Genomic DNA, 21,356 nt, shown 5'->3' on the forward strand with positions numbered 1-21,356 from the left:
TGCTACAATTAAATTCCAGAGAATTTTTTGGATTCTATTTAATGAATAAGGATATATTTTTCATGTGGTGTCATTGTTTCACTACTTCCCATGTTTATTTGGACAGATTCATAGCACTGGGTAGGAAATGTATTGGTTGGCAACTTCAGTTTTGGAAGAGAAAGTAAACACATGCTGATTAGCAAACAGTAAACTCTACTGTGTTTAATTTTGGCTTCTCTTTAAAAAAAAAAAAATAAAAACACAAAAAAGCCACTATTTGGTGTTGTGTTCCAAGTAGGAGCATTTGTCCCTAAGTTCTTTCCTAACCCCTTACTGGAGGGCTTCCAGAATTGCTCTCATTTTTTTTTCTTCTTCCCCTAACACCAGTGGCAAACGCCAACATTATTTAAGAAAATACTTGTGCATATGGTATCCTCCTAGCACAGATTTGCCATCCAGTTGAACAGTAGGGCCACTAACCCACACAAACTAAACTGCAAAATTATGAACTGCATAAACATAAACAATTGAATTTAGCCCTAATAAATTCAAGGTAAAATCACACTTCTGAAATTCCTAAAAGGCTACGTCACTGAAAACTATCAGGTCTGAGAACTGAAGGTGGTAAATATGACAATCTAAAACTTCCAATGCTCTCTTTAGAGCCAATTTCTTTCATCTATCTCATCCTATTGATTTACTGTGACTCCCCAAATTATTCTCCAAGCTTTAGCCATTCTTAGCCCTCTTCTCATCCATCTTCAGAAGATCATCAAAATCCCTAACACCCAAAAAGTGCCGAAGGCCAGCACACACAGGGAAAAGCTTGGCCACCTAAGATATACCATTGCCCACTGAGCACAAAAGCTCTTCATTATGTCTATGTACCTTCTCATTAAACAGAGCTGGTGTCTGATCTTTTCACTGCTCATGATTACTACTCATTATTAATCAGACTTCCCAACATGCTTCCAAGGTATGCAAAATCTCGTCCCCACATACCAGATGGGAAAGCTGAGGCATCCAAAAGTTAAATAACTCCCAAATAGCCCAATATAAGAGGTCAGCAACATCTCTTGCCGATCTACATTGTTTCTTATTCAATAAACATTTATTATTGATCTACCAAGCTCCTCACCCTGCTAGGTATAACAGTGTGTGTGTGTGTGTGTGTGTGTGTGTGTGTGTGTGTGTGTGTGTGTGTGTAAGCTCCTCACCCTGCTAGGTATAACAGTGTGTGTGTGTGTGTGTGTGTGTGTGTGTGTGTGTGTGTGTGTGTGTATTCTACCATATTCTGGGTTCTGGGCAAAACAGCAGATTATCAAAGTCCTAACCCACATGAGGCTTACGGTCTAGGAGGGGTAAGAAACAGTAAACCAAGAAACAAATGAATATGAAATATGTGAGGTAGCTATGGGGCAAAGAGTACAGCAGGGTAAGGAGAAAAAGACCTGGGAAGAAGAGAGTGGTAGCTGGAGTGGTAGGAGATTTTGGGGGCACATGTAATTTAAGTCTTCCTCTGAATGAGGTAAGGGAGCAAGCCCTACCTACGATCATCTGAGAAAAAAACGGTTCCCAGCAGAAAGGACAGACAGAGCAAAGTGCCTGAGGCTCAGCTGTACTGGAGGGATGGTAGTATTGCTGCTACTGAAAGGGCAGGCAGAGTGACTCACTGGGGAGAGGGAGGCAAGGGTCAGATCACACAGCACCTGGAAGTCACCACTAAAAGTAGGGGCTACAAATATAAATGAGACTACTCAAGAGAGACAGTCTTGTGAAGAGTTTAATACGTAAGGTTACATTAAAAATTCACTGCATTAAAAGCAGTTGATGCTTTCCCTACCATCACATAAAAAGTATATGTGCACAAACAGACAGAAGGGTGCATGCGCTGAATTTTATATAGTCTAGGAAACATTTTCACATTGGTTGTTTCAGTCAAATACAAAGAAGTTACAGAACAGCATCGAGTACCTAAGAGAGACCAAAAGCATTTCCTTCTGTAAAGCCCTGCAGCTGAGGGCTTACATCCGCCTGGTCCAATCAGTTCATTTCCAAACAAAGGTAGGAAATGGCTGCATCCTAGTATTTCATTGTGGACTCATGACTCAGTGCTTTGGAACTTGGTATCTTTGGGAGTGAGTGTCTATTCTCCACGTCTCTTGCCACAGGGGGAAAAAGGTACAGATAAACAGTAACACAATTTCACCCAACCGAGATATAAATCTGTGGGCTTCTCCACCCTTCTCAAAAATAAATGAATGAATGAAGGAAATTCAGTTCCTGCTTTTTTTTCTTCCCTTCTCTGTTTTGTTTCCTAATTCCCAGGACTCCCTGGTGTCTCCTAAACAGCATAAGGTCAACTGATGGTGAAAGTACATCACATGATAATTATTCAAAAGCTGTTATGTTATACAATATAGTTTATAATAGGAAAAGGAGTTACATTTGATTCTGCAAGAGCAGTCGGTAATATGCCCATTACATAGGGATTCTAAGAAACTAAAATTAAGAAATTTGTCCTAAAGAACAAATTGATTCTCCTCCATCATTTAACCAAAAAGGTTTGTAGTATTTTGTATTCACAATGTTACACAGGAGAACAGTAACTTAACTTTGAAAACTGTTTTCACACAATGGTCACAAAGAAAATAACACATAAATCCCATTAGGTCTTTTTGTAAAAAGCTTCCATAATTTCCAAATCCACGGTGTAGAGAGGAAAAGAGGAAAATGGCATGTGTATATGTTCTAAGACTATTACTTCAAATGAATAAGGTTTAGAGGTATACTTAACATACAAACTGTTTCCTTCAGGAAAAAGTGCAGGAACTCCTGGATAGACACAATACTCATTTCTGATGAAAGTTACAGAAGAAACTACCAGTTGTGTATGATCTAATACTACAAGTCACTTATTATCTATGAAGGAAAACAGAAAGAGAAAAGATAAGAAAACAACATTTAAATAAGAATGAGAAAGGAATCTCTGTTCTAACTTAAAGATACATAAACATATAAATCCAAATATGAGCCAAATTATTTTATAATGATATCCATGTGATCAATGAGGCATAACCACAAGAACCTTACACGATTATAATGAGAGAAGCTTCGAAACAGGAAATTTCTATCTACAAAAAGTACAAATTATTTTCAGAATATTGGAGGAATCTGGGGTTTTCTACCCAGCAGAATAAATTATGAAAACAGTGAAAGATACCCTCCAGAGGGAGAGAGTGCAAGAGTTTATATGTTAAAGAGAACATTACATTTCACTTTTCCAATGTAGAAACAAACTGAAGAAAATTTAGAGGGGATGGTGAGGATGAAGAGAAATAAAATCATAAAAAGGAATGAGTAAAAAATGTAATAAAAGAAGAGGAATATGGTTTCCACTTATATTAGTTTTGTCCTTCCATTAAAAATTATACCTTAAAGTCCATTACTCTTGACTATATTGCCAATTTCTCAAATAATACACTGGTCAAGTTCCAAAATTTCATTAAATATATAAATTGCATACATAAAAGTTCCTGTGTAGCCTATGGAAACATTTTAAATTTTCTTCAGCAAAATTGGGCCTAAAGTTTGGAAAAATTCCTAGAGAGTGAAATTAATCTCTCTGTCCCCATCTCTCCCTCTCTCCCTCTCTCTTTCTCTCCCTCTCTCTCAATAGATAATATTACCCTACTATATATCCTGCCATATATCTTTATACTCCAATTTCCTACCTAGTCCCCTATTCAGACATGCATAATGCTTCCATTTTGAAGCATATGGCTGGGGAGCCAAAAGAATTTAAATTGCCTTCAAAATGTGCATCGCATTATAAATGGTGTGAAAAAAGATCTTACTATTCAGCTCTCAACTTGGAGCATAAAGCAAAGAAGAAGCAACACAAGACTGCTTCAAACTTTATCCAAAAACTCAACAGCTTCACTTGTTTATAGAGGTACAAAAAGTATGCGACACAGTTTATAAAACAAGAACGATGTACTGTATGCAAAAGTAAAGTTAAAAGCAAAGTATAGTAACAGCCCTATCTCGTTACAAACACTTGGCAGCATGTCTAAAGTACCATGGTCAAAAACATGATACCGTCTGCGTTGTACTTCTGCCAGAAAGCACTCCCTAAGTCCAAGTCTCTTTAGCCATCATCACCACCTCATTTGGCAAACTCTCCCAAGCCTCAGTTCATCTACTCAAAATTACTCCACAGAAAGCAGACAAACTCTCTAGCTTTGTAGGCTGCAAGTATCACAATGAAGTAGCATTGGCAAGTGACAGCGTAAGATGGAGCTCTGAGGTTAGAAAGCCAGGACCAACTAAACTGTATCCTCAAAGCTTATTTGCATATCAAGTTGAGCAGGGCTGTCTTCATTTTGGTAATTCAGGGTTTCTTCTCTACTCTCACAGTAATTCCAATGGGTCTTTCTGAATCAGCCGCAGCTGAGAAAGAAAGCACATGGCAAGAATACACTCAGGCACCGAATACCTTTTAGGCAAATGAGGGGCAAATGTATTCGGCAATTACCTGCCATTTAACCATTTCTGGCCAGGTCTTTTGAATAATTCCAGAACCTCAAAAACTGCCTCAATAGTTATGTATGCATAACGGACCAGGCCATTACCAAGGCTAAGTAAATACAAGAATATGCATCAAGGTTTAGGTAATAAGTAGATAAATAGACTATATCAGTATCAACATCCATATCTACCTGTGGCATTTATAACTAAAAAAACAGCAGTTCATAATACATAAGTATAAATGTGGCAGTGAAAAGATGACTGATAGGACAGAAGTAGCTGCATGAATTATTAATTTTCCTAGGGCACGTAAGAATTGGCTTCCAAATTTTTCTTTAATCGACTTTCTCCAAAGTAGCATATTACATAATTCAAAAAAAAACAGATATTGTCATCTTAAGTTTACAGCTTGCCATATTTCCTAGAAAATAAACAATAATTAACAACATATCTCATAGTTGTTCCCTCCCCACCTTTCTTCAAGAAACTTTACACTCTGAAATGTAGATACATAAGCTACTTTTGGATCAGGGCCCACAACCATATGCTTCCAAAGGAATAATATGTACAGGTTAGTCTGGTGTGTACCAGATGTTAAAAAAAAGCAAATTCAAAAACAGAAATATCAGTATTCAATGCAGAAATATATTTTAAATTAAATCCCATTCTTCCTCTCCTTATAGACACAGAATCAAAGAAAGCCAATTGTATGTCTAATTTTTTAACCTTTTTCCTGAACAAAAATCCCAATTTGACTCATGACTCTAGATTCTTTATATACATAAGATCACAAGACAAGAAATGGTCATTTATAAATTATCCTGTCTCAGAGTGAGCCTCCTACCATATGCTGATATTCAACCAGAAGAATTTGTTTGAAAAGGCAAAAAAAATTCCAGAAGTTAAGCCTATAAGGCAAACCAGCCAGCAAAAGGCGACAGAGTCCACATGTCTATCAGATATTTAATATGTTAAACCTCAATTACCAAAAGTTTTAAGATTCTCTGTAAACATAACTAGTGAGTCTTTATTTTTCAGATGATTCTGAATGCAAAATGAGCACATTATCTGCACATTGAAAGAATTTATGTGTTTTTTCCCACATATGGAAATATGCATGAGTATTAAAAAACAAATTACAAATATCCACTCTCTAGAAGTTTGAAAAGTCTAAAGTTTGGGCTGTATTTGCTTTTTCCATTGCAAACCTACAAGGATTCCTTCAGACTTACAAAAGTTATTGCAAGAAGTCCTGCAGGAAGAAACAGATTGGGGATTTAGATCACCCATGCCTAACTTTTTCAGGGCATCATGATCTCTCCCCTTGTTCTATACATCAGAGATGTCACTGAAGTGAAAGCCAAGTTTTACTTTAGAATTTAATAAAAATTGATTAAGCATCACAGAGCACAAACAAAGCTGCTCCATAAATCTTTCAGGCCTTTTTGTGCTAGGAAGAAAGCAAGCACTGTCTGCTGAAGCAGATGACAGATGCTGGCTTAAAGATAAGTATTATTTATACTTCTGTACCAGATTTCTTCTTATGCATATCTTATCATGCATGGGTATATGATCAACAAAGCAATTATTTTATATCAGTCAAAGACATTCAAATGTACCCTGGCTCCATAGGAATGCTTTAAAGAGTTCAGGTCTAGGGTTCAATTAAACCAAGATGGAGAGAAAAGAAAGTTTGGAAAGAAAAACAAATATTGAAATGGTTGTGATTTGAAATGTACTTTCACACACAGGCTAATGAATATATATGTACTGAAAATAACTTTGTTCTGAACATATGCCTATGCATTTTAAATAAATGATGCATGTTTGAAAGATAAGAGGGTTTACCAAATCTAAACACATCAAGATATATCTATATTAAACTGCATTTATTTGTACAGTATGTCGGTAAGGAAACAGCCCCCTGAAAGAAATCCAATAGTTATGTAAAGAGATAGCTGATTTAACCAAGTTTGAGAACATTTTAGTCATCAAGACTAGAGTTTAAAAATTTAAATGACATTCCTTCCCTCCCTCCTTAGAAAGACAGAATATATGAAAACCAATCACTTAATGAAAATTCCCAGAGGTTTCTTTATTGTTTTACTTCTAGCATATGAAGTGGAAAAAAGATAACTAATTATTTGAAAGAGAAGAAAAAGCAACTTATATTACCTTCTCAAAAAATATATAATATTCTGCATCATAAGGCATTTGAAGGTGGAGAAGCTGGCATGTGATTCCAAAACAAATCTGGATAAGTAAGAGAAATAAATCAGGTGGGCTGTCTTGACCATTTTCTTCTACCCCGATTCCTAAGTCCCTTGAGAATCTAGAAGAGGAGCAGGTTTGGGGGTGGAATTGTTTTGTTTTATTGTGTTTCATGAGGGAAGACAAACTGGAAATAAATGAGTTTTCAAGTCCAGCCAGAAAGTCAACCTATGGTTAGATTTACCTAATTGGGTATTTTTTAAAAAAAAAGTACAAAAACAAAAACCTGTGCTCATCCATTTTTTTATGGTATCTTATTGTATTTCATTTTTTTCTCAGCATTTTTCTTCGTAAAAGTTCGTCCTAAGAAATCCCAACCTCGTCTCAGATAGCCTAAAAGGCAGAAATGTTCATCCACTCAAAGACCAGGAAACCCTAAGCTGCATGACATCATGTGGGAGTAAAATGACTGAGTGAGCTCAAGCCAGGATCCTTGCTGCTGGAGGGTTTCCTGCACAAGGGCTAGCTGAAGCCACAGATATGGCTGCAACTGCATTAAAATGACATTGGTAGCAGAATTAAACTGTCTGGTTTCATGGAAATTACCGTATACTGTAGTTATCACGTGAGAATTAGCAATGCACTAAAATAGGACACACAAATCAGTACTATTATGTGGTAATACTAATCTATCATACGCAATAATTTTTCTTTCCTGAATTATATATGAAAACACATCCATAAGGGTGTAGCAATTATGAGCAAATATTTTCAAGAATGGCTATTGTGTATGTCTCTTTTAAGCATGCAACTCCACATAGAAGCACTAAACAAAGTAAGTGCTTAAAGATATTCAGGATTCTCTTTCCTATTTAAATAATCCTCTCTATTATATAAAAATTCAGTTTGTACAACATAAGCATAAGAAATTTGTAGAGGAAATGATAGGTCAGAATGGTTTTTAAATGACCTTATAGTAGAAAACAAAGTTAAAATATATACCATATACCAGTGCAGTCAGATATATTGGAGTCACTAATACATTCTGAATCTGCTGATTAAATGAGAGACATTCAAAATGAATGAAACTTACCCACATACTTTCTCATCCATGTAAGCAGGAAAGAATTACATTTCTTCTGAGCTAATGGGAATGAGTATAGTAAGCTTTACCGATAACTTTAATCTCCACAATCTCCATAGACAGATCCCCACCAAAAAATAAAATAACTGCTTAGTAACTTTGCAGCATATCAAAGTTCACAAACCATGCCCAGTTCCAATACTTATTAGCCGTTGGCCTTAGACAAATTACTGACCTCTCTGAATTTGAATTTGTATATCTATTTAAACAAAGATAATAGGCTCAAAGTTTGAAACAAATGGGATATGTAGAAAAAACATTGAGCAAAATGCCTGGAACACAATAAGTACTAAAAAAATAGTAAATACTATTATTGTTGTTCTTGCTACTGTTATTATTATTACACAGTACTTTCATGATAAAAGTCTCTGGCCATACATCAGCCTAGATTAGTGCAGCATGTGCCTAATTTCTCATCTCTGATTCCATGACATTGGGGTGTCCGGATTCTCCTCCTACTTATCTGACTTCTCACTATCATTCTCCTGTATTAACTCCAATTCTTCTAAAAGTCAGCATTCCCCTGGTTCTCTTTATCACCCTCTGCAACCTCAATCAAACTTTGGCTTCAAAGGTTTGGGATAACAACAGCTAAATTCAGACCTGTATTTTCATTTGCCTGTCAGACATCAACACTTGGGTCATGCCTACCCAACCTAGAAGAAAAAAACTGAACAACTCACCTCCAAACTCAGTGGTTCTTCCACTGCCTCTGTTAAGGAAACTAACATTTACCCAGGTGACGAAATTAGAAACATCACAGTCACACCCAACTCCTTCTCCCTACATCCATAATAATATGCCTCCTTCTTTCTATTCCTACCAGTACAAGCTTTCCTATGTCCTTCTTGCTGCTCTCCTGACTTTCACAGAAGTCTTAGCTTGGTTATGTTCAACAAACAAGAACACCTAAGATATGCCAAGCACCATATACTCTGAATGCAAACCAGGACAGAACAAAACAAAACAGAAAAAAAAAACCAACGGCAACAAAAAAAATGCAACCCTTTTGCTCTCAAGGTTCTTCAAGTAGTGGGAGAGATACGTAAACACATGATTATACTATAATGTCATACAAGCAATAATAAGTACACATGGCCGGGCTCAGTGGCTCACGACTGTAATCCCAGCACTTTGGGAGGCAAAGGCAGGTGGATTACTTGAGATCAGGAGTTCAAGACCAACCTGGCCAACATGGCAAAACCCCATTTCTACCAAAAATAGAAAAATCAGCAGGGCGTTGTAATGCACATCTGTAATCCCAGCTACTTGGGAGGCTGAGGCACGAGAATCGCTTGAACCCGGGAGGCAGACATTGCAGTGAGCCGAGATCGCACCACTGCACCCCAGCCTGGGTGACAGAGCGAGACTCTGTCTCGAAAAATGATAATAATAATAAGTACACATAAATTATAAAAGTGGGACAGAGGAGGGAGTGATTATTCCATCTAGACAGGTCAGAAATGAGTTTACTGTAAATATCCATCACTCTAGAGGAGTGTTTTGAAGAATGAACAGGAATGTGTGGTTGCACAAATGTGTGCAATGAACAGGAATGTGTGGTTTTCCTCTCTAATTCCTGAGAATTAGAGAGGAAAAGGCATTCTAGATATCAGGGACAGCGTGGGTTAGACTCTAAGCTCTCTAATCAACATGTTTACACTTAAAACTCGCCAGTCTAAAACCCAGACCTAATTTTAACACTTTCCCTTTTCCATAAGACCTTCAAGGGCTTTCCACTGCCTCTAGGATAAAATCCAATACCTTGCATTGGCAAGGCACTGGTATTCTAAACTCCGACCCATTAGATGGGAGGAAGCTCCCACTGCTCTCCACATCCCTTTGTCTTAGGTACAGGAAGTCACTACACCTTCATACAGGACTGTGCTCCAGCCAGCCACCAAAATGCCTCTCTGCCCTTCACCCTGCAAAATCCCATTTACCCTGGGATATCAAGTTTAATTTCACTCTGCTGAAGTCCTTCCTAATCAACCCTGCATTGTGTCCTCCTCTGAGCCTTCAGTCCCTTTGTTGATAGCTCTATTTCCACACATCTCATACATGGATTTGTAGAGTGAATGCCCATATGTTTGCCATATCATTTTTGAAGAGCTTTTGCTGTAAATGAGAACTTCAGTGAGTAATTTCCAATTACTTTCCCCCAAATTAACAGGCAAATATTAGGAAACATCCTATGCCAAACCCTCTTATTTGGTGCCACTGACAGTGCTAACAGGCTAGAGTGAAATATCAAGGTATATGTGTGGTTCACAGAAAACCACTAATATCACCCTGCTATTGACTGAACTGTGTCCCTGAAAATGCATATGCTGAAGACCCAATCCCCAGTGTAACTGCATTTGGAGACAGGGTCTTTATGGAAGTAATTAAGGTTAAATGAGGTCATAAAGTTGAAGGCCTGTTAAAACGGGTTTAGTATCCCTACAAAGAAGAGATGCCAATGTGCCTGATCTCTCTCTCTCTCTCTTGCTTTCTTTCACTATATCTCTCTCTCTCTCTGCTTTCTGAGACACAATAAGCAGGTGGCTGTCTGCAAACCACGAAGAGAGCCCTCACCAGAATCCAATGATGCTAATTCCCTGATCTCAGACTCCCAGCCTCCAGGACTGTGAGAAAAGAAATTTCTACCATTTAAGCCACCCAGTCTATGGTATTTTGTTATGACAACCCAAGCTGACTAGGACTTATACCATAGTCAAGAGAACTTGAACAGTCCACAATTAAGTGGTGAGACTGTCTCTGGTATGATGCACAATGTATTTAACTTTACAAACAGACTCATTAATCTCTCAAAAGCTTAACACTGTCACCATTTTACAGACAGATCCAGCTAATGGTTGGAGGCCTTCCATGCGCCATCCAATAATGCAGGGAGAGGCAGTGACCATGCCCAGAACAGGATTCTAAAGTCCTGCCTTTCAAATCCCTGACCTAGAAAAAAGGACTACTCCATTTCTCACAGGAAAATGTGCCAGTCATGGAGGCCTACATGGCACGTCTCTGCACTGCTCCAGGTCAGGAGGGCCATCTGACACTGCACAGGCACCACTGCAGGGCAAAAGGATGATCAAGCATCCAAAGGCCACCGCCACCACTGACTAGCTGAAAAACCATGAAAAAGTTATATAATTTCACTGGATATAAAATTAAAGCAAGATTTTAATACTTACCTTGTAGGGTCACTGTGAAGATCAGAAATAAAATACAGAAGTACATGGCCCACTGCTTGGCATACAGTCAAGACTCAGTAATTAGTGGGTACTCTGCATGCTTTGATGTCACCTCATTAACAGTTTCACTTCTACCTAAACTAAAAGCAGGAACAGGGTGTTCTTATTATTTTTTAAAATCTACAGTAGATATCTGCCCTGTTTGTTTAGGTGTTGTCTACACAGTATCTACTAATTTTTTCTTTTTTTCTTTTTTTTTTTTTTTGAGACAGGGTCTCTCCCTGTCACCCAGGCTGGAGTACAACGGCATAATCAAAGCTCACTGTAACTCTGAACTCCTGGACTCAAGCAATCCTCCTGCCTCAGTCTCCTGAGTAGCTGGGACTAAAGGCATGCACCACCATGCCCAGCTAACTTTTGAATTTTTTTGTAGAGATGGGGTCTCCCTATGTTGCCCAGGCTGGTCTTGAACTCCTGGCCTCAGCAATCCTCCCACCTCAGCTCTACTTCTTTCTTTCTTTCCTTCTTTCCTCCCTTCCTTCCATCCTAGCAATCCTCCCACCTAAACTGCCCTTCCTTCCTTCCCACCTAAACTGCCCTGCCCTCCCCTCTCCTCCACTCCCCTCCCCTCCCTTCCTTCCTTTCTTCCTTCCTTCCTTCCTGTAGCCTTGGTCTCCCAGGCTCAAGTGATCCTCCCACCTCAGCCTCCAGAGTAGCTGGGATTACAGGCATACACCACCATGTCGGACTAATCTTTTATTTTTTTGTGGGGATGGGATCTCACTATGTTGTCCAGGCTGGTCTCAAACTCTTGAACTCAAGCAGTCCTCCTGCCTTAGCCTCCCCAAATCCTGGGATTACAGGCATGAGCCACCACGCCCGGCCTCTATTACTTTTTGTTAGTAATAACAATAATTTTCCTCTGGGAAGCCACTCTTCCCCACTTTCTGAGATCATGTAGTTTGGGTGTCTCGTGATCCTCCTCTAGCTCCTCTCCAAGAACAGGCAGGAGACTTAAGCATAGCCAAAGAGAAGAAAGCACCAGTTCAGCAACAGGTTCAGGGGTAGTCCAAGGAGATCCAGCCCAGGAACGTCTGCAGGGACTAGTGAGGAAGGGAACATTTTCCTCCCCACTGGGTTTGCTTGGCTAATAGAATATAAGCCTTCACTGTGGAAAGAGACCCTCTTTGCCCGAGAAGTAAGGGAACAAAGAGAATGGCATAGGAAGAGAATCAGAGAAACATTCCCAGTTACATCATTTGAACACCTGAATCAAACTGTACCTGCAGATAAACTGGACTTTTAAATTACATCAGAGAATAATCTCCCTTTCTCACTTCAGTCTGTATAACTTCAGTTTCTTACACTTGCAATTAATATACAAACCAAATAGCAGCAAGAATTTGACACCTTTCAGTGACCAAAAGGACCACTGAAATAAGAACTTAGTGATAAGAAATACCTTTCATTAAATTCTCACTGTACGTCAACTAAATATTTCAAATTTAGTATTTCCAATTACATAAACTGAGGATGGGGGTAGATATTATTATCTCTGCTTTACTGATAAGCAAATTATGAGTCAAAGAGCTTAAACAAATTGCCCAAGTTTAAATAGTAAGTGGTGGAGATGAGATACTACCTAAGATTTAGCTTTTTTCTTTTCTTAAGTATTACCAAGAAATAGTATTACTCGGAAATCTCACATATTTATAAGATCCCTTTGTTTTATGCTCTTATAGCATCATGTGCCTTTTCACCAAATGATTCACCACAATTGTTCATTCTACTTTTTTTTAAGATTGCGTCTCACTGTTGCCTAGGCTAAAGTGCATTTTTGTGATCCTTTGATTTGGGAAATTGTTTTCTCCCATTATCTTATAAACTTCCTCAGTTTACGTCTATCATGATTATTGCATATCATTGTGCATTCACTGACAATAGTAGATACTTAGCAAGTACTGTAAAAAAATAGAAAGGAAGGAAGAGAGAGAGGGAGGGAGGGGAGAAGAAGAGAGGAAGGAAGGAGAGTAAAGGGAAAAGAAATGAGGAAGGAGGGAGAGGGCAGAAGAGAGAATGGAAAAGTGAGAGGGGAAGGTAATTCCACAACCCCTTCACCACCCTTAAGCCCTTTCTTGAGATAATTTAGGGCCTAGCAATAGACAGTGGTGACACTGTCCTCATGCAAAGGGATAAATAGAGGAATTCCGGAACAAGGCAGGAATATCATCATAAATGCCAAAGTCTTGTGGATACCATTTCTGACTCCCCCAAAACCCCACACAGTAGGAACAAACATGATAAAAAGTTTCACCTATTCCTAACTCCTTGTTCAAAACCCCTCGAGTCTCTTTCTTCTTTTCTTGATAAGTCTTAGGGTAACACACCAAGTTTTAAAACTCAGTTACAAATTTGCCCTTAACTGAGCATCTGAAAGGTTATCACGCAGGATTTTTAGCTCTAACAGGGAGGAGGGTCTTTTGAGTTTATGGCCTGTTGAGCACTTTTGTGCTGAGTCAAGGAAGATAAGAGGAGTGGGAAACAGGAAGAATCCATTAGACAGTGTCTGTGCATATAATATCTTTTTTTGTTTTCTTTATGTAAGTTCTCTGATGGACAATAATGTCCCCAGGTAGCTAATGTCACAAACCTCTTAAACATGAGAGAGAAATTGTACCATTTCTCAAAGGCAGCTTTTTGGAAGGGAAGATCAAAGAGGAGGCAGAATTAAAGCCTTAGCTCAAAAGGAAGACAGATTTCCAAAACTTCAGCTTTTGCCATTAAAACTTTCAGGTGTGTCCCAAGATAAATGATACATCATTGGCTACTACATCCCCACAGTGGCCTCACTACTACCTCAATTTGATTTTGTGAAGGAGTGCTGAAGCACTATCAAAGAACTTTGGTGTTCCCTTGCTTATGTCATAGTTACCTAGAGAAAAGAGAGTATGCCTTAGGAAATATTCCAGTTTAAAGCAACATTAAACATACCAAATTCATCACCGGGATTACAGTATATAGAATATTTTAAGTCAACCTGTATATCTCTGTCAATTATATTTTATTTTAACTATGTGAGAGAAGGAATAAAAGTTACTAAGGTATCACCTTTTCTAGTAAAAGATAACCAAATAAATCCATTGAGAAGTCACGTTTATTCAAAAGAATTGGTTTCTCTGGACTTATGACATTTGAGTATAGTACCTCCTTTCTTCTAGAATACTCTGAGTTAATAAAAGTTTTTTTGAAAATGAAATCCATGGGTATGTGTCATAATAAGTAAATACTAAATGCTTGTAGTTTTTCAGAGACTTTTCTTAGGTGATGTCTATTCCTGAAGTATGATCAGAATGCAACATCTAACATTTTACATAATTAAAGATTATAGTATTTTGTTTTAAAAAGCAAACTAGAAACCTCAAGAAAAACCTATCCACTGGCATTCCTTTGAAACATACATACAAAGAACTTTACGGTGTTTTTCCTTGCCTTTGGGTGTTTGTTTTACAAGAGAGGAACTCCAGGTGCAATCACTGAATGAGGAATTAGAACCTCCCTCCAAGCTTTCATCTGATTGCATACCAACACATAACGAAGGACATGATATATTTACAGTAGCTAAAGAGTTAATCTTTAGCAACTCTGCTTAAAAATCCTAATGGCAGACTGCCCATCATTCTTTTAGACAGAGCTTGTCAGAAAAACTAGGGCAGCTTGTCCAGCTCAGCAGTCAACTGATTACTAGTGAACTCAATGGGGCTCCCAGCCAACCCCTGAGATTGCTGCCAGCCCCTTGGGTATTCAAAGGCCAAGTTCCAATGTGGTTTACTTTGCCAGAATCACATGATGTCAGTGCTATTTTCTCCTGACCAGAATAACCAGTCATTCAGGTTACTGCAAGTGGTATCGGTGAACTAGGCATCACTTCACTGTTAGAGGTCACATACACACCAAGGCTCTGCTCCTTCTCACCACGGCCGAGGGGCCACTGGAGCCTCCTGCAGGAGGTCAGCTAATCCCAGTTTGTCAGTTCCAGCCACCCAAATCCTGCACGGGCATCCTGCACACCGCAGTCTGCTCCAAGGACCAGGAATTACACAGGCGTGCTGCACATGGCACACTTAGAGAACAAAACAAACAGGTCCAACTTTTATAAAGAACAAGCTGGAGAGGAAAACAACAGAAAACTGGTTTTGGCTTTCACTTATATTATATTACTCGAGGTTTAGTAGGCAAGCCACACAAATTCTGTGGGATTTAGTCACCGTTATCCACCTATGCCCACATTCTTTGCATGGTAGTAAGACATTAATTAATTTTTACATCTATCAGGAGATTTTTCAGTTGCTACAGGATTTGCAAGGGTACATGCATGTAAGGAGTAGCCAGTTTTTAAAACTGTGATTACCCTTATCTTTCGGTGAGAGAAAGTATTTCACTCCCTAATGCAGAGAATTAAAAAACAAGATCCACTTTTTAATCTTTCTTCCTCCAGAAGAAAATACAAACATCAGGAATAGCAAACGGGCTGATATGGCTGGTGGACTCTGTTTTCAAAGTCTTGAACATATTTCCCAATGCCTTAAAAACCTTGAAATATTTTTAATATTCCTCATTACTTCTATGGCACTTTGCATTTATTTATATGAATTCATTTTAAAAACTCACTTTAAAGAGACTAAATCTTTAAAATATGACATTTAAAAATACTGTAGATTTTCTATATCATTATATTTATAGTTTTTCATCCTTTCTTTTTTCTGTCAGTAAAGTAATAAAGTTTTAACTGCTGAGAAATAATGGGCAGCAAGGTAAAGAAGTGTCATGATTTTTAAACATTTGTATTTGTTAAAAAAAACAGAAACTGCTTCAGTTATAATATGTAAAAGAAAAAGAACTGTAATGACTGCAGTAACTACTATTACGTAAAAGACAATACATGTTTCAGAAATAATAGAGTCAATGAACTATCTGTTACTACTGGATACATCCTTATTAATATTACCTTGGGGAAACCTCTAAGCAAAGTGAGAACAAGATCACGAGAACAGGCGTCTTAAGATCTACTGATGCAGCTTTACATGTTCCTGCCATACAACTTTGTGGAGGAAAAAAAAATAATGTCTTTCCATCTCCTGCAGCAAAATATTGCACCCATGACGGTCACCCGTATTAAACTCAGGTAAACTTCTACAAGAAGTCCATCTGTCAAGGAAATTGTACAGTAAGAAAAGACTGGTGATGGATGCATGGAAGGAAGGAAAGGAGGGAGGAAGGAAGGAAGGGAGGGAGGGAGGGAGGGAAGGCAGGTTGGTTTCTACAAAGAAAAAAAAGACCAAAAACAATTATTTTTACATCAATGCTTCATAATTTTCATTCATTCCATCCATGAAGAAAGTTTAAGCAGATCTGCAACAACTTCAAAGCCAATGTTATCATGTTTTTCAATCAAAATCAGGTGCTACAGTTAGTGTTCCCTGATGGTTACAGCTCATCTTTGACTATTCAACATGTCTTTTGTCCTGGTCTTTTATTTCCTTCTCAGATGCATCATATCCTACTGCTAACATAACATCTTTAACGAACTAACAAATGTTTGAAAGAAAGAGACTTGCTAGATACAAGTTCTCTGGTGCAAAGGGACTGAGTGGTCACCACCAATTAGATTATAGCGGGATAATTTCACAGTTCTCGAGATGATTGTTTCAAGGAAGGCTGGAAATGTACAGAGGCAGAATAGCCTGGAAGTGTGTGGTTTTCTCTAAGCAGACCAAAACAGCCCACAAAACTCCCAGAAGGAAAAAAGCAAGTGAGATTTCGATCCTTTGGCAATGAAGAAATAATGCACAAATAAAATGTTTTAGCCTAGCACAGGGGCTCACACCTGTTAGTCCCAACTACTTGGGTGGCTGAGGCGGGAGGATTGCTTAAGCTCAGGAGTTAGGGACCACTCTGGGCAATACAGTGAGACCCCATTTCCAAAAATAATTTTTTAATAAAAAAAAGAAAAAAATGTTTAAAATGAAGTTGTCAGAAATACTCTTTTGAGACTACGTAATAACCTGGGTGCTGCCTCTAGGTATCTTTGCGGAATTGTTACAGTAAGTAAAACTCTCTCAAGCCAACATTCATGGCTCTCCATGAAGTAATCTCTATTTATTTTTTTCACGTGGCCTCCAGCACATCATGGGTCTTGTATTCCAGCTACACTGGATAACTTCTTGTACATTTTCCTGCCCTTTGACTTTTGCTCATGCTGTTCCCCTGGTCTAAATGCCTCCCCAGCACTTGACAAAACCCGTCTTTTAAAGTCAGTTAAAAACATAATTTCTCAGGCCAGTCATGGTAGCTCATGCCCGTAATCCCAGCACTTTGGGAGGCTGAGGCAAGCAGATAACTTGAGGCCAGTAGTTTGAGACTAGCCTGGCCAACATAGCAAAACCCCATTCTAGTAAAAGTACAAAAATTAGCCAGGCATGATGGCACACACCTGTAGTCCCAGCTACTCAAGTGGCTGAGGCATAAGAATCGCTTGAACCTGGGAGGTAGAGGTTGCAGCGAGCCATGATCACACCACTGCACTCCAGCCTGGGCAACAGAGTGACACTGTCTCAAAAAAAACAAAACAAAACAAAACAAAACAAAACAGCATTTCTCCATAAGATGCTCCCTCCACCCCTAGAACCAGATATGAGCTCCTCCACTGCATCTCAGTAGCTTCACATTTATACAGTACTTCTCTTAAACACTGACTTGATATGGGCTTGCGTTACTTACTGATCTTATCCCTCCACCAGACATAAGCACATAAGCATGGAGACACGCATCTTCAGGGATGTGCACTCAATAATCGTTTGCTGATTTGAAGTGAAATGATGAGGCTAATTTATTTTACAGTACTCCCGTGCACTGGTTCTCTAATAGCTGCTCAAAGGCCCTCCACTGATCCAAAAGCCCATCTGCTATAATATTAGTGTTAATAATGATACATAGGTTCCTGAGATAAATAATTTAATTATCACATGCTTATTAGGGTCTCACCAAGAGCAGAGCCATTTACCTCTTTATTTGAATAAGACTTCTGAAAAATGCTTTGTAGTTGGGATTCTGTGTGTGTGTGAATCTATGCATGTGCATATATGTGCATTTACAAGCAAGGTCTAGAGGCCTAAATAATAATAATGATCTTTTGCTCCTCTTCAGTGAACTTCAGACAAGTACCTTAAAGCTACAAGCTTTAAAGTATTAGCTTATGAAAGCGCCAACCATGCTTCCAAATTTCAAAACAAAATAACCTTCGCTAAGTCAGGAAGATCACTTGAGGATGGGAATTCACCACCAGCCTGGGCAACATAGCAAGACCCCATCTCTTCAAAATAAAAATAAAAATAGCCAGGTGTGGTGGCGCATACCTGTAGTCCCAGTTTCTTGGGAGGCTAAAGTTGGAGAATCACTTGAGCCCAGGAGTTCGAGGCTGCAGTGAGCTATGATCACACCACTGAACTCCAACAAGGATGACAAAGTGAAACCCTGACTCAAAAAAAGAAAGAAAGAAAGAAAAAAGAAACTTGGCTGAACCATGAGGAGTTAACACTTGGACATTTTTTGATTCTGCAACTGTAAAAGAATCTTGCTGAATTTGTTGAACTTGTGTCTCTAACAGATTACTGACATTTCCTTAATGTAAGATCACCTGGGGATTAAATCTCAACTGTAGCACATATCAATGACTGTGAGCATCTGACTTTACCTTGTTTTACAATTCTCATGAAATGGATGTATGGTCAATGACTGAGGGGATGATAAACTTTATATTAACCAAACATGATATAAAAATCCAGGGCATACTGATGACCAGATATGGGCTGGTAAGAATTAGTTCTAATATAACATGGACATGGACATGCTTCAGTTTATATAAATTGCTCTATAGGTAGTGACAGATTAACCCTCCTAACATCCTTAAAAAAAGATAATAAAAGTTATTATTCACTTTTATTGATGAAATACTTGGAGTGTTTAGACTCTCACAAGGTCACTATAAATAACCTTTTAACAATCCAGCTCACTGATGAGTCTTGGTGTGTTTTGTGAAGCACTCAACTGACTGTGAGAATCACATATAAGAGAAATGATCAAATAGCCTGAATGCCTTTGGAAAACATTGAATTCAACTCTGTCCTGCTCCAGAATCCACACACTATGCTAGCATAGTATTACTGAAGCGCAAAACACCATGCTAGCATAGTATTAGTGAAATACAAAACACTGTACTCAAGGCACCTAGTTTAAATCCACCACCTATTAGCTGTGTGATCTTGAGAAGTCCCTTAATTCTCCCTCATGTGCAAAGGGAAGCTACCAATGGTGCCTGCCCCACAGGGCTATTATGAGTATAAAAATGAGACATTTTATGCAGCTTCTGTTTTACCAAAAATATTCATTTTGACCCACTTTTTCTAGAAGCCTCTCCCTCTAACAATATTCATATGTAAAACCAACAAAAACACTAATCAAATTCCAGAGAGATTGAATTTCAGGGTGAGGGAGGTCTTACTGCATTTTTGCCTTAATAATCTCAGTTTCATCTTTCATTCCATACCAAAACATGGTTACAGGGAAACTATGTTCTAAGAAAAAAAATTATTAATTATATACCCATTCTGCACATTTAGAAATAAATAATTTTCCAAAAACTTTTACCTAGACAAGAACCCCTCCTTACAAACAGAAGTTTTCTCTTTAGACCAATTTCACTGCTAACCATAAAGAAGAAAACATATAAGTAGGATGAGATAGAAGAAAAATCAGAAAGCAGAGAAAGACTAATTAGAAGATAGAGAAAAAAAGGAAGAGGAGTGAAATATAATATTCATATTCTAGCTGCCAATCCACTAACTTCCAAAAAGGAAAGTGAATATGCCAGACCATTAAAATATTTCAGCAACACTAGCTTGTTTGGCAGTCAGAGTCTCAGAACCATGAGAATCACAGTTACTTAATCACTGTGAGCTCATAAAACTGGACCCAAAGTGACAAGACCATTGGGTGAGAAGGGTGAGAGGGAGCTGAGCAGGGTGATCTGCTCCAACAATGCACCAGTTCCAGAGGTCCTCTGCAGAACTTGAAGAGACAGCACAGCATCCTGAGGCCGTTAACTTCCTGACTCCTGCCTTTGAAATAGAACCAGGAACTGAGCTTCCATGGCCTAGTTTGACCTGGCTTTGTCACTACCCCAGTTCTGATGAGATTATGATCTGCTACCCTAGAACTAAGCAGAGGTGAGAGCCAAGATGCCTTTCTATGGCCTAGAGCACAAGAAGGGCCCACATAGTAACAAAAACACTGTCACTTTTATGGATTAGGCAGTATTGCCTAAAGGTTTAGCACCCAAGGCTTTAAAGCCAGACTGTCCTGGTTCTAAATCTGACTTTGACACCTACTAACTGTTTAACCTTGGTTAAGTTGGTTAACACAGAGGCTCAGGTTCCTCACCTATAAAATGAGGGGAAGTACGAGGTTACTCTGAATATTAAATGAGATACACATATATAAAACTGAGTATAGTCCTAGAACATGGTGCACACAAGGTGACAGCTGTGCCTTATTACAGCTACTGCACAGCTGAAAAAAACTGTGAAACACTGAAAGTCACTCTTCTACAAGCTGGATATTAGACTGTGAATTCCCCAGGACCAGCAAAACCCAGCATTCCCAATGCCTAGCTCAGTGCTGAATGAACAAGAGAGAAAACCTCAAAAATCTTTCAGTAATAGAAAGATAATTCTGGACAGGTGCAGTGGCTCACACCTGTAATGCCAGCACTTTGGGAGGCCAAGGTGGGTGGATCACCTGAGTCGGGAGTTTGAGACCAGCCTGGCCAACGTGGCGAAACCCTGTCTCTTCTAAAAATACAAAAAATTAGCCGGGCATGGTTGCGGGCACCTGTAATCCCAGCTACTTGGGAGGCTGAGGCAGGAGAATCGCTTGAACCCGGGGGACAGAGGTTGTGGTGTGCCAAGATCGCTTCACAGCACTTTAGCCTGAGCGACAGAGCGAGACTCCATCTCAAAAAAGAAAAAAAACGAAAGAAAGAAACATAATTCTAAGACTAAGACCAATAATGTGCCAGCTATGGTTTCCTTGTCATTGAATTTATTAATATAAGTAGGCAGAATTATTTGTTATCATGCTAAAGAAAAAATGAGATTTTTTTTTAACGGACAAGGTTTTCTTAAAGCATCATATCAGTATCTCAGTATCTCCTATAAATAGATTTTGTTTAAATAATACAATTT

General features: G+C 38.6%; 1 protein-coding gene across 30 annotated transcripts in view, besides 2 other annotated features; it reads right to left on the minus strand.

The window, feature by feature from the left end:
- Positions 1-21,356, minus strand: part of NFIB (nuclear factor I B) — a 450,235-nt gene that overhangs the window by 154,785 nt on the left and 274,094 nt on the right. The window lies entirely within an intron of this gene.
- Positions 1,537-2,298: an enhancer, noted in NCBI's record as "OCT4-NANOG-H3K27ac hESC enhancer chr9:14238163-14238924 (GRCh37/hg19 assembly coordinates)". NCBI's record gives its function as "activates a minimal SCP1, AML or CMV promoter by ChIP-STARR-seq in naive H9 embryonic stem cells {active_cell/tissue: H9 hESC(naive)}" and the evidence as "EXISTENCE:reporter gene assay evidence [ECO:0000049][PMID:30033119]".
- Positions 14,743-15,037: a silencer, noted in NCBI's record as "tiled region #8618; K562 Repressive non-DNase unmatched - State 24:Quies". NCBI's record gives its function as "represses a minimal TATA promoter and a strong SV40 promoter by Sharpr-MPRA in K562 cells {active_cell/tissue: K562}" and the evidence as "EXISTENCE:reporter gene assay evidence [ECO:0000049][PMID:27701403]".

The sequence above is a fragment of the Homo sapiens genome, chromosome 9, assembly GCF_000001405.40.
Source record: "Homo sapiens chromosome 9, GRCh38.p14 Primary Assembly".
Taxonomy (NCBI): Eukaryota; Metazoa; Chordata; class Mammalia; order Primates; family Hominidae; genus Homo; species Homo sapiens.